At 32.8% G+C, this 13,626-nt stretch overlaps 1 protein-coding gene across 25 annotated transcripts in view; it reads left to right on the top strand.

Moving 5' to 3' along the window:
* AGTPBP1 (ATP/GTP binding carboxypeptidase 1) overlaps window positions 1-13,626 on the top strand; it is a 258,945-nt gene that overhangs the window by 181,978 nt on the left and 63,341 nt on the right. For 24 of the 25 annotated variants that reach the window (XM_047423094.1, XM_047423090.1, XM_047423089.1 and 21 more), the window contains 3 exons: window positions 2,221-2,304; window positions 4,205-4,291; window positions 4,375-4,523. In XM_047423094.1, coding sequence (XP_047279050.1) covers window positions 2,221-2,304; window positions 4,205-4,291; window positions 4,375-4,523 — 320 coding nt within the window. Of the gene's footprint in view, window positions 1-1,700; window positions 1,806-2,220; window positions 2,305-4,204; window positions 4,292-4,374; window positions 4,524-13,626 lie in introns of those variants that run through there. The other variant, XM_011518421.3, reaches the window with a different exon arrangement.

The raw sequence follows: 13,626 nt of genomic DNA, 5'->3' as shown, positions 1-13,626 counted from the left end.
TGAGATTACAGGCACGAGCCACCATGCCCTGCCTCTCCTCTTTATTAAAGAGAGCTTAGGGCAGGGCAAAGATTCCCCTCAAGTATTTTAGATCTAGTCTAATATAAATGGGCAATTATGTCCCCCAGAATACAGTGTTAGAGGTATACAAACAGGTATATAGGCCATTTTCAACTTGCACATGATTTGGCTTAACTTGCAGAGTGGCATTTTTTTTTTTAAACCAATTGCCAGCCTTTAAAATTTGGGAGATTCCGCATCTCCCAAACAAGTCCAAGTTTCTGGTGTTTCTTGAAGGTTGTCAACAACCTTTACCTCTGTTTCCTGCCTAGCAGCAGTCAGCTCGTTTTTAGACAGAAGCTGTGTCCTCAGTTTTTCACAGTTCCTGCCCGTCAGCCTCACTCAGTTCTCATACCTGCTGGCCCCTGTCGGGCCCGAGCTCTTTGACCCTGTTTTGCGTTATGGAACATCACTGTGGAACTGAGCTGTTAAAACTAGCTTCTCATAACATTTTGCTAAAAAAACAAAAACCAAACCTTTGTGAATATTAATTTTTACATATTTGTGGCATATATCAACCTTATTAATTAAATAAATTATTCTGACAAATAGATATATTTAGTCATTCACCCATACTTGACCACTTAAATTTTGATGTGGTATATTTTGAGTATGTGAAAGTGCCATATCCTTCACTATTGGCCATCTGGTTGATGTAAATTCTGAATTTATTTATGTGTTACTATAATCGATAGCTTTTAAAAAAGCTTGTTTCTTTATAATTGGCATTTTAAAGTTATGACATTAAACTTACATCAAGAATGTGTAGCTTAATTTTTTGATAGTAGATCTTTTTTTCCTGATAGACTACTATGTCAGTAATGAGTTATTTTTTATAGAATAAAATTAAAAGTAAATTATTCTTAACTGTTTAACTAGTAGATTAAGATTAGTTTTAGCATTATACTTTTTTTTTAGTATCCTTTGTTTATATGTTTAACTATCATACCTTCTGATATTTTCCTGGTAATTTTTAATTTTTCAATTAGGGTAGGTTCTTGGCTTATTTTAAATTTAAGGTTATACTGTGATATTGTTACATATATTTCTAAACTATGTGAGAGTTAATATCCTTTTATCATGGAAAAGTATCTTCGTGCAGGAGACTAGTTTCAGATTTGCCTGAAGTTTAAGACTGTCAGTGTTTAATGGATTCTTGAGATTTTGTTATAAACTATTTTGGTACACTTTCTCACCCTGCTCTCAATAAATCTATAAGCCACAGTTCTAATCTGCATTACTTATCTTTAGCTGAAATGAACAAACTTGAAATTTAAATCAGTGCATATAATCACCTTCCTCTTTGAGAATAAATTTTACATGAGAAGTAGCTATGTATTAACACTAGCAGGACTTTGTGGCCAGTCTACCTGGAGTTACAGGCAGTCTGGCTTTAGGAACCAAATCTGTTCTGTTTTGGCTATATTTTAGTGTCACCTGTGTTGACACAGTTTGGTGATTATTGTCTTCCTTAGCTTAAATATTGATGGGGTAAAGATTGTGGGTTCTATGGGTGACTTAGTCTTCTAGGACAGTGGTAGGGATTGGAGGAATTTTTATTTTGTTGGACTGATTCAGGGAGAGATTAAGTCTAGAGAATTTTGCATGCTCAGGGAATCATCCTCTGCTCCCTCAAACAGGTGTTTCCCTTCCCTCTACCTTTCCTTTCCCACCACAAAAGAGAGGAGAGATTCTACGAACATGCAGACTGACTGCCAATTGCATTTTAGCTAAATTCCAGCCAGGTGGGTTTAAAAAAATTATTCTTATATAATCTCTGGCTTTTCACATCTTTATACCTTCTCGTAATGCTGCTATTATGTATACAGAATTATTTGCCCAAGGGTTAGATAGCGAAACCACACCATTTCTATGTAGAAAGGCATAATAGACATTCAAGTTTTTTTTTTTTTTTTAAATGATTGGACTTGTGGCTGGCTGTATTCTACGTGGATATTTTCTAGAACTCAAATTCTGATACTGATTTTTGTCTTATTACGTATTGCTAGTTTTTTTGTATGCAAAATATATAGATAGAGGAATAATCATTTTTATTTTAAGAAATTTTTATCATGCACTTTTTTCATTCAAAATTTACTTTGGAGAAAGTTGTACATTAGTGTATAATAATATATTTTGGTTAAACCTTTATGATTTCAGGACAAAAATTGCTCAAGATATTGAAAGGCTAATACATCAGAGTGATATCATAGATCGTGTGGTATATGACTTGGATAACCCAAAGTAAGTCTTGATTTTAATGAACTTTTATTAGTTTTAAGTTTTTCTATAAAATTTTAGTATTATTTCTAAAAGATAAAAATTCTGTGAAAAATGTTGGTAGTTTTTAAAATAATAAATAAAAATATAGTTAATTTATAACTAGTTGTGACTTAATTAGGTTTTCATCCTTTGGGATGTAATGGTAATGGTAAGTCACGTTTACCTACTTAACTCTATCACGAGATTTTGTTTGTTTTTAGGTAGATTTTTAATGGGCTTGAGGTAAAGGTTACACAATGATGTTGTATTTTTGAAAAACTGAAATTACTTTCACTTAGGAGAGTGGATATTTTATATGAAATGCTGGCTTGTCTTGCAATACTGAGCCTTCATTTCATTAGGATAACAAATTACCATCCCTTTCGAAGGAGCATCTGCTTGATCCTTCTCCATAGTCCCCACCACACCCTGTTGTCTCTTACTGCTTATAATCGGCTCAGTCATTTAGGTTGCCTGCTCCATCTTTGGAATGCCTTTTTTTGTGATCCTTGATGTGTTAGTCATTTACTATTTAGGATTGTCACTGATATCATCACATTTTAGGATTTAAATATAAGTAAATAAATGAAAATTACAAATATTGAGTTTGACTATTATTTAGTCATCTGCCTTCTCATATGAGAAATTCAATTAGCCCTCAGTGGCTTTCTTCTCTCCCTCAACATACAAATATTTTTGGAAAATTTCACATCTTGCCAATCATATGTGGAGGAAAAAAACACCTTTTTTTTTTTTTTTTTTTAGATGAAGTCCCATGCACTCTGTCTCCTAGGCTGGCTGGAGTGCTTTGGTGTAATCTCGGCCCACTGTAACCTCTGCCTCTTGGGCTTAAGTGATTCTCCTGCCTCAGCCTCCTGAGTAGCTGGGACTACAGACACATGCCACCACGCCTGGCTAATTTTTCTGTATTTTTAGTAGAGACGGAGTTTTGCCATGTTGGCCAGGATGGTCTCGAACTTCCTGACCTCAGGTCATCTGACCACCTCGGCCTCTCAAAGTACCGGGATTACAAGTGTGACCCACCGTGCCTGGCTAAAACACTTTTTTTTTTCTTTTAAAGTTTTGTTAGATAAGAGTATAAGCTGTAGCAAAGCTAATGACTAAATTTGAAATAATACTGTTATAAAAAAGAGGAAACATATACCTTATTTATTTAATTATTTCAACATTGATAATTCTTTGTCAGATAAGACAGGCAGAAGTGGTAGAAACAGAAACTCAGGAACCCTGAGTGTGGCATACCAGTGCTATTTTGGACAGAATTATTGAGCATCTTAGAGTCCTAGTCTTCTCTTATTAGCGAGTAGGCTCCAGAAGAGCAAGAGTTTGCATTCAGTCGGGGAACCAAGCAGACATATGTCTCAAACAGTATCTGGCACCTAGTAGATACATGGTAAATGCTTATTTAATAATCAATATGTAAAATGATAATACGTGTGCTTCTTGATGCTAATTAAATAAGATAATAGGTAATTTAGCTCTTCAAATTGAAAATAATATTTTCTTCAGAGAACTGCATCGTTTATGAGAATTATTGCTGCTCAGTACAGGTCATAGCCGTTTTAAAAATGTTCTTTTTTGTATAAAAATAAGTATTTTAGAAATGACATGCATTCAGTGAGGCAAAAGTTCTTACTATATCAGTATAAACATAAGAATAAATCTCTTATTATAAGTTTTGTCCATAAATCTTATCCACATTTAATGTATTGATTGTGCTTGTTTTGTGCTTTAGTTTAAAAATAATGAGGAAGGTGATATGGCAGTAGTGATGTATTTTTAATTATAATTTTATTTACTTTTTGCTCATCTGTTTAAATGCAATGTATTTTAATACATTTACTTTAAAACTTTTATTTAGTTACACCATTCCAGAAGAGGGAGATATTTTGAAATTTAACTCCAAATTTGAGTCTGGGAATCTGCGCAAAGTAATTCAAATTAGAAAGTAAGTCACTTAAGATTTTCTCATTTTGTATGTGCACAGATATTTCCTAATTTTCATCAGATTTCTTTGTCTTCTATTTTCAGAAATGAATATGATCTTATTCTGAACTCAGACATAAACAGCAATCATTATCATCAGTGGTTTTACTTTGAAGTCAGTGGAATGCGACCAGGTGTTGCTTACAGGTTTAACATCATTAACTGTGAAAAGTCCAACAGTCAGTTTAATTATGGTAAGACAGTTTTCTTTCCCAATTGAAATGGCATGCAGGCATCTTAACTGTGGAAAAGAAGTTTTTTTAAAAAAATTGTCAACTTTTAAAAAATGTTTCAGTGTCTTGTTTTCTCTAGTTCTCAAAATTCAGATATTATGCAACATTTGAAATAGGTCAAGCTTTTGTTGGTGAAAAAGAGTTACTCTTATATAGGCAAGTCCTTTAAAGTGTAATGGTTGATTTCATCCAAATTGAAGGGAACTAAAGGTTTATTATGTATACTCCGATGGCGACATCTGATTGTGTAATTTTTCTTCTTTAGCCTGTTAATATGGTATATTATGTTGATTGATTTTTGAATGTTGAATGAACCTTTTTCATTTGGAATAAACCCCACTTGGGATAAACAAATCCCAAGTGGGATTTATTTATTAAAAAAAAAAAGTGTGGAATAAACCCCACTTGGTCATTGTGTATAAATTGCTAATATTTTGTTAATGATTTTTTCATTTCTACTAAAGAGGGATATTGGTCTATAGTTGTCTTTTTGTTTGTTTGTTTGGTACTGTATCTGCTTTTGGTATCATGGTATTACTTCATGAAATGAGTTGGGAAGTGTTCCCTCCTCTTAATTTGCTGGAAGCACTTGTGTAGCATTGGTGTTAATTCTTAAACTTTGGTAGAATTCTGTAATGAAACCATCTGAATCTGGAGATTTCCTTTCTTGATAGTCTTTTAAACTAGAAATGTAATTTTTTTTTTTTTTTTGAGATGGAGTTTTGCTCTGTTACCCAAGTTGGAATGCAGTGGTGTGATTGTGGCCCACTGCAACCTCCACCTCTCAGGTTCACGTGATTCCCCTGCATCAGACCCCCAAGCACTACAGGTGCGTGCCACCACGCCTGGATAATTTTTGTACTTTTAGTAGAGATGGGGTTTCACCATGTTGGCCAGGCTGGTCTCGCACTCCTGACCTCGAGTGATCTGCCCACCTTGGCTTCCCAAAGTGCTGGGATTGCAGGTGTGAGCCAGTGCGCCCAGCTAGAAATTTAATTTCTTGAATAGTTTTAGGGCTATTCAAATTACCTCTTTTATCTTGAGTGAGTTGTGGTAGTTTGTGCTTTTTAGGAATTGGTCCATTTCTTCTAAGTTGTTAAATGTATGTGCAGGGTTGTTTGTGGTATTCTCTTACTATCCTTTTGATTTCTGCAGGGTCTGTATTGATGGTCCCTAATTAATTCCTGCTAATGATAATTTCTTCTCTTTTTTTCTTTGTCAGTCTAACTCTAGAGGTTTATTAGCTTTGGGCTGTTTCGAAGAACTAGTGTTTTGTTTCACTGGTTTTCCCTACTATTTGTCTCATGAGACCGTTTTAAAAAAAACTCTTGAGTTGTACCCACAAAAATCTTAAAAATATAGGCTCATTCAATGTTTTTGTGTTTAGTACTTTAATATATACAAAACTAAGGATTATTTGTAAGACACCCAGTAGTCAAACATTATGCCTGTGGAAAATGACATACTTGTATGAACTTAATATCAACATTTTAAAATTGAAGCATCAAGTTTCAAGTATTAATGTTATAATGGCAATCTTATTGTGTAAAAGAAAAGAATTTTTTTCTGGCATACAAGAAAACTTGCACTGGGGCTTGAGAAGAAACATATGTGTGACAAGTTACAAAATCTCCAAGGTCTCAATCATTTGTTGGAAAGATTGAAAAACTTTTAACAACTGAGACATGAAATGCTGTATCATCCATTTCATTTAAATCCTCTAAGTTATTAAAAGCATGAATATGATAATGCTATTTAAGGGGACATTTCTGAAAATTAAAGCTTTCAACAGTTGAAGAGGTTGTTCCCAATTGTCATTATTTATGTGGAAGATAAGATATTGTATACTCTAGAATTACTTCACATGTATGAAAAAAAGCTTTAGTCAGATTCATTTATTTAATGCAATAATTGTGGGATGACTAGGTAGCATAATACCTGGTTTAGTTATAAACACTTTTCTAAGATTTTTAAATGGCTTAAGTAACTAATTTTTAAGTGTTTATTCTTTTAAATATGCATATTTTGACTAAAAGTTCAGCAAGTATATTGATTTATGTGAATAGTGATAGGAATATTCTTGATGCAGTCAATTTCACATTTTGTGATTTTAAACTACTAACTATGGAATGTGATATTTCTCAGAAATATGTTAACCTTAAACTTTCAATTAACTTTAAAAATTACCTTAATTGAAACTCATTCAAAGTATATTAAAATAAGTAAAGAAACCTAGTGATTTCCCTATTTAACTTGTAATGATGCTACATAATATTTTTAGAGGAGAAAAGAACAATTAATTAAATTAATTTTATTGGTATGGTGGGTGCACCTTACGAGTAAAATATAAAGGCATATTTATTCCTGATATAATAGTCAATATAATTTTCAGAAGTGCTACAAGTAGATTGCATTTTTACTAACTATATTCACTTAAAATAGAACTCTTAACACTTTAAACTTTATTAAAAACTATAACATTTTAAATTAAAAGTATACATTTTGGAGCAATGCTTCTCTGTTTCTTAAAAAAACCTATACCTTTATGTGATAGATACAATAATTTCTCTAGTGTCATTTAAAATTTTAAAATGAATAAAATTCTGTAATTAAAACTAATTCAAAGCAGTGGGACAGATGGCTGCTTTATTTTTAAATTTCCTCTCCTTCTTCCCCCTTCTCCTTTGGATATTCTTGTATGTATATCACACTTTCCAAACTCACTATGTAGTGAATTTGGAAAACAGAATGGTGTTAAGAAAAAAATAAAACCATTGACAATGCATCATCCAGAGATAATCACTTTCACATTTGTTGCTTCTTACCAGCCTTTTTTATAATGCAGTGTATGATTTCTACTTACATATAGTTATGCATTTATTTTTTAAAAAAGAAGACTCATAACCAATGCAATTTCATGTTCTGTATTTTAATCAAATTTATGTTATCAGCATTTTTTTCTGGTTATTAAATATTCCTGTGAAACATAGTTTTAAGAGACATCCAGTGGAAGTACTGTAATTTATTTATCCAAACCTTTCTTTGTAAGACAGTTGTTTCTGATTACTTTCTATTTTAAATATTGCCGAGATAAACATTATTATACATAGATATTTGTATTTATAATTCATAGAAGTATCTGTATGCCAGGTACACGTGCATGTTTTTCTGATGATAAAACAGTAGATATTTAATGTGAGAAAGTAAGTAAATTAAAAACAGTTTAAAGGAAAAACTTTAGAAAGGGAGCATCCAAAAAAAACCATTGTTTAACATTTTGTTATCTGTTCTTAAACTTATTCACATTCACATACATAATTTTAAAATTAAGTTTTACTCTTTTACAGATTTGGGATTATAGTATGAAAGCTCATGTGTAACACTACATTTTTTTAAAACTGTACAATAATTTGTAAAAAAACTTTCCCCATGCCCATTAAATATTATTCAGCAGCATCATTAGTAATGTCTGTGTAATATTCTATTGAGTAAGGTACAATAAATGAATGATAACAGATTGAAGATTTAAGTCTTTCTCCACATTTCAAAATTATAAGCTGTCTTGCAGTAGATACCCTTAATTATTTGTTTACATATATGTTTCTGATTATTGCCATGAATTCCTAGAAGTTGGATTTCTCAAAGAGAATGAACATATGTTGCTGAAGACTAGGGAAAATGGGTACTACAGTGCTGGTGAAGTATTAAATTAGTTCAGCCTTTTTGAAGTGCATTTGATAGTATGTTTTTGGTGTTTATATTTAACAGCATCCATCCGGATTTATTTTGGTATTTTCTGTGAATTGGGATTTAACTTAATCCTATTCTTAGTGGTTAAGTAGCTACAACTAAATTCATTCGTTCTCCAAAGAGTTTTAAAGTGTCGTTGATGAATTTATTGAATTGTTAGACATTTCACATTTACAACTGCATACCTGAGCCACGAATGAACGAAAGGTACGAAATACCGTTCAGAAGCCGTTAAACATTGTTGCTCTGTTTTGGCTGTTACAGACAATGGTCAGGTTAGTAAAAACAGATTAGAACCTGATTGATAAAATGCCACCATAACTTGCTTATAATTCCTCACTTTTTGAATTTGAATTCAATTATTTTGACCTCTTAGACACATGTCCCCATTGGTTTGAAACACTGCAGTTCTCATAATCTATGGTCCTACATACACACTAATTATGTTTGGGGGTTTCTTGTTGATCTAGTACCACTGTGTTTCTAATTTATTTTGACTTTAAAATATAGTCTAACATCCTGTAGTTATTTTCAAATACGATATACAGACTTTTCTACCTATTTTTTCTGAATAGTTTATTCTGAATATGATTCACAATAATTTTATCAAATACCAAAAATTTCCATTGGATTAAATTTGTGGAATAGTTTGGGAGAGGCATAATATTTTATATCCAGTCTTACTACTAAGGCACGTGATGTTTTGTTTTGTTGATTCAAGTTTTTTTATGCCTTCACCTATGTTTTTTAGTTTTCTTATTGTTTTATATTTCTGTTTACCTTTGTTTCTGTTGTGAAAGAGTACTCCTATTTTCAAACATTACTTCTATTAAGAAAGCTACTGATTTTTATATATTTACTTGAAAATCAACCTTCTTGCTGAACTTTTTATTAGTTGTTACAGTTTCTGAGTTGGTACTTTGGATTTTCTTGATACCTAGAATTTCTGTGATTCATAGCTATATTGTGTGTCTTTCATTGTTTTTGAATAGAATTTTAACAATGTTTAAATTAAAGGGGTACACTGGGCATCCTTGTATTTTATTTTAACTTCAATGGGAATGTTGCTAGTGTTTACATTAAGCATATCCTTGTTTTGAGATACATATTTTTCTATTTCTAAAAATAAAAATAAAGAATTTCTTTTTTTAAAAAATCAGATTTAAGAATTTTTTTGCATTTATCAATGAATGTAATGTGACCATATAGTCTATAACCTTTGGATGTGTTATATTATGTTAATAATATTCATGTTATTAAGCCACCCTTGGATTTTAGGAATAGGTCAGCTTGGCTGTGTGAATTGATCTTTTATGATACAGCTATTTTTGATTTGTTAAAATTTTGTTTAAAGGTTTTACATCATAAGTTAGACAAGTCAGTTTCTTTTTCGAGAACTATCTTTGTCTAGTTTTGGAAGGAGGCTGATCTTACTTTGAACACTTAAATGTAAAGGCTTTTATTTTTGCACCCTATGTTCTGGAGCAGTTTAAATAACATATGTTTTAATGAAATTTGCAAAAAATGTGCCTCTAAAACTGTCTGATTCTGTACCCTTTAATTGGGTGAGAGGGGGTGCTTTTGGACTTTTTCAGAGTTTTCTATAACTCAGTCTAGACTAGTTTTTTATTTTTTGTTGAGGGAGTCTTGATAATTTGTATTATATATTTTTATGTCAGTGACATTTAGATTTTAAAAATTCAGTAGCAGAAATTTGTGTGCTATCTGCAATATGTATATTTGCTTATTCTCTGGATTAGTTTTTTCCAATTTTTTGGTACTTAAAACTTATTTTGTTGTTTTATAATTTTAAAAAGCTGGTTTATTCATTATTTCTATTGGAATTTTTTATACTTATTAATTTCTCTCTTTACCTCTCTGCAGGCTGATTTTTTTTTCTTTTTCTAACTTCTGGTATGTTTACCTAAATTTATTTTTGTCTGTTGATCAAAGTATTTAAGTTTCAAATTTTCTCTTGATTACAACTTCTGTATTTCCCTTTCAAATTTTAATATTAAGATCTCCTTGTTATTTTTTATATTACTTGTATGTAATGTGGTATCCTTTAGATTAGAATTATTTAGGCAAGAGTTTACATTTTAGTTGGTTGTATTATTTTTGTGAAGACTTTTCTCATTCTTTCAAATTTTAATCCATTTTGTTCACTGATGTGGAATTTATGATTTGCAGTAATTTTTTGTGGCTTAATATCTGGTCAGTTTTGTGCTCATGGGCACTTGGAAAATAATATTCATTCTTTTTAGGCAACATAATGTAACATACATTGTTTAGTGAGGAGAAAAAAAAAAAACCTGTTTTTCTTCCTACTACTCACACCACTTCCCACACTTCTGTGCCCAAATGTGTGGGGATTATTTTCTCCACACATTCCAGTTCTTCTACTCTCCAGACACCAACTGGGTGTCCTTCCTACAATTCAGTTATGATACAAACTACCTGGAGTTAGTGCAGACCTCAAGGATTAAGGACTCAGTCTCCCACGACTGCCCCTCACTACAGATGCCAGTCAAAAGTAGTGGGTCCCCAGGTTACCATACTTCTCTCTGACTTGGTTACAAACAGGGGGTCCCATAACCCTCCTCACTTTGATAATTTGCTATGGCAGCTCACAGGACTCAGGGAAACACTGAATTACGATTCACAGTTCATTATAAAGGATAGATTTAAGGATTCAGATGAACAGCCCGATGAACAGGTAGGTCCAGAAGGGTCCTGGGTACAGGAGCTTTTTTCCCCATGGAGTTGGAGTGCCCCACCCTTCTGGCATGTGGATGCATTCATCACTTGGAAGCTCTCTGAATCCCGTGTTTTGGAGATTTTTATGGAGGCTTCATCACATCGATATGATTATTAACTCAGTTTACATCTCCTTTCCTTTCCCTTGAGGATGGAGTTTGGGGCTGAAAGTTCCAAGCTTCTTATCATGACTTGGTCTTTTTGGTGACCAATCCCCATCAAAGAGTACACCAAGAGCTGCCTCATTAGAATAGAAGTTGTTTCTATCACCAGGAAGTTCTAAGAGATTTAGAAGCTCTTTGTCAGGGAGTGGGGTCAAAGACCAAATATTAGAACAAAAGATGTTTCTGGCACCTCCATTGCTTGGGAAATGACAAGGGTTTTAGGAGCTCTGAGCCAGGAACTGGGGGGTAGAGACCAATATATATAGAGAGAGATTTCTTATTATTTCATATTTGGCTGGGCATGGTGGCTTATGCCTGTAATCCCAGCACTTTGGGAGGCTGAGGTGGGTAGATCACAAGGTCAGGAGTTCGAGACCAGCCTGACCAACATGGTGAAACCCCATCTCTACTAAAAATACAAAAAATTAACCAGGCTTGGTGGCACACACCTGTAATCCCAGCTGCTCAGGAGGCTGAGGCAGGGGAATAGCTTGAACTCGGGAGGTGGAGGTTGCAGTGAGCTGAGACTGTGCTATTGCACTCCAGCCTGGGTGACATAGTGAGACTCTGTCCCCCAAAAATATATTGTTTCATATTTAATATTATACATCTATTCAACTTTCTATATCCTTGTTTATTTTTTGTCTTCTCTATCTACCTAAGACTTAAAAATACTTAATAGTCTTTCAATTATGTTGTGTTTCTGTCAAGCCTTCATTTAAAAACTTTTTTTTTCTATTTTAATACAATGTTACTTGGCACACAGAATTTTGTAAGTTTTCCATTTTCCTTTTGCATATCTCTTTAATAGTATAAAATTATCACATTTATCTCATTCAGCATCTTTTGCCTTGAATTCTGTTTTTATATTGGTTTGAATTTGCTTGATGTATGTTTGCTTTTTTTTTCATAAATAAGAGGTTGGATTTTGTTGTTTGATCATTTGTCTTTTAATAGAGGAGTTTAACCTGTTTAAAATTCTTACAATTGATGTGTTTGGGTTTTTATGCTTTCTATTTTTGTACTTCTTTATTGTTTTCTTTATTTTTTATTTAGTGTGACACTTATTTTAGCTGTGGAATCCAAAATGTAAAATGCAAAAAAAAAAAAAAAAAAAGAAAAGCCCCTAAACCACAAGATACAGATCACGAGGCATATTCTGCATTGGATTTTTCAGTCTTGCTCCATCTGCCTTAAGTTTAATAGAGATTCCTTCCAGATTCTGATGATAAGTTGTCTATTGTGAGTTTTCTTCTTATTTCCATGTATTTGTAAGTATTTAACTAGGAAGTTAGTAGAAGCTATGGGAGCTGTTTAGGTAGATGTAATATTTTATTAAACTTATCTTTAGATTTGTTAGGTCAGTACAACATAAAGCAAATCTTGGTTTGTCTTAACATTAACAGAATTAAAAGAAAGGGACCAATATTTTGGTAAACTAGAATTTAACATTGTAAGCAATTATAACTAGCAATAATTCATTTTAAGGGTGGGGGCTGATGACCAAAGAAAGTATGTGCAGTGGAAACTTCTTCATCTGGAGGTATTTATTTAATTGTCAGACATGATTGAAATGAGGAAGTAGTATCAGTTAGGAGAGTAGCTTATTGTCTGTAATTTTTTTTTTGATTGGGGCGTGCCGGTTGGGGTACTATTTAAGTGTTGGATTCTAGAAAATGTGCCCAATAGAGGTCTTGTTCTTTGGCAGTGTCCCCAAAAAGGAACAGGCTGGCAGTTGCTTCTCTTTCAAGTTGTCCTTTTCTTTGAGCTTTTTAAAAGTGATTCTATTGAATACTTAGTGGTTTTCACAAGTGAATGATCTTAAAATTAAGCAGTTTAAAAATATTTATGTTTCACACTGTATTTTCAATTGTAAAGAGAATACTGCCTTTGAAATACTGAATTTGAGAATGTGTGTCACTAAATAGTGCTGTGTCTGTTTCAATCCATCACCCCCTCTTACCCCCCCATTACTTGGAAGGGATTTGCTGAAATTACCACCAGATGGCAGTCTTGCATTTTAGTGACTTGGAGCTTCAGTACCAAGCTTCTCTTTCACTTTCTCTCCATCTTTGTTTCTCTCAGATTTCTGAGGATTTTCAACTGCCTTCTTACATAAATTGAACATGTTTGGAACCAGGCAATAAAGTACAATTTTGGAGTCTAGTCTGTAGCATTCTCACCGCTTTGCCCACGTTAGTTAATTCAAGTCTCCTCTGCCTCCCTAGAATGGATTAGTCCCCCTGACAAATGTTCCTCATACATTTTTGCCTTTTGGGGTGCTCTTTACAGTTTAATATTATTTAGGTGTGTGGCTTTCCTACATTTCCTTCTTCTCTTTGTAATTAGTGTTATACATTGAGGTACTTTGAGACTATCTAAATATCTTGTTC

The sequence above is a fragment of the Homo sapiens genome, chromosome 9 (assembly GCF_000001405.40).
Source record: "Homo sapiens chromosome 9, GRCh38.p14 Primary Assembly".
In the NCBI taxonomy this organism is placed as follows: Eukaryota; Metazoa; Chordata; class Mammalia; order Primates; family Hominidae; genus Homo; species Homo sapiens.
Note: the sequence above shows the minus strand (reverse complement) of the source record. Positions and strands in the feature narration are given on the sequence as shown.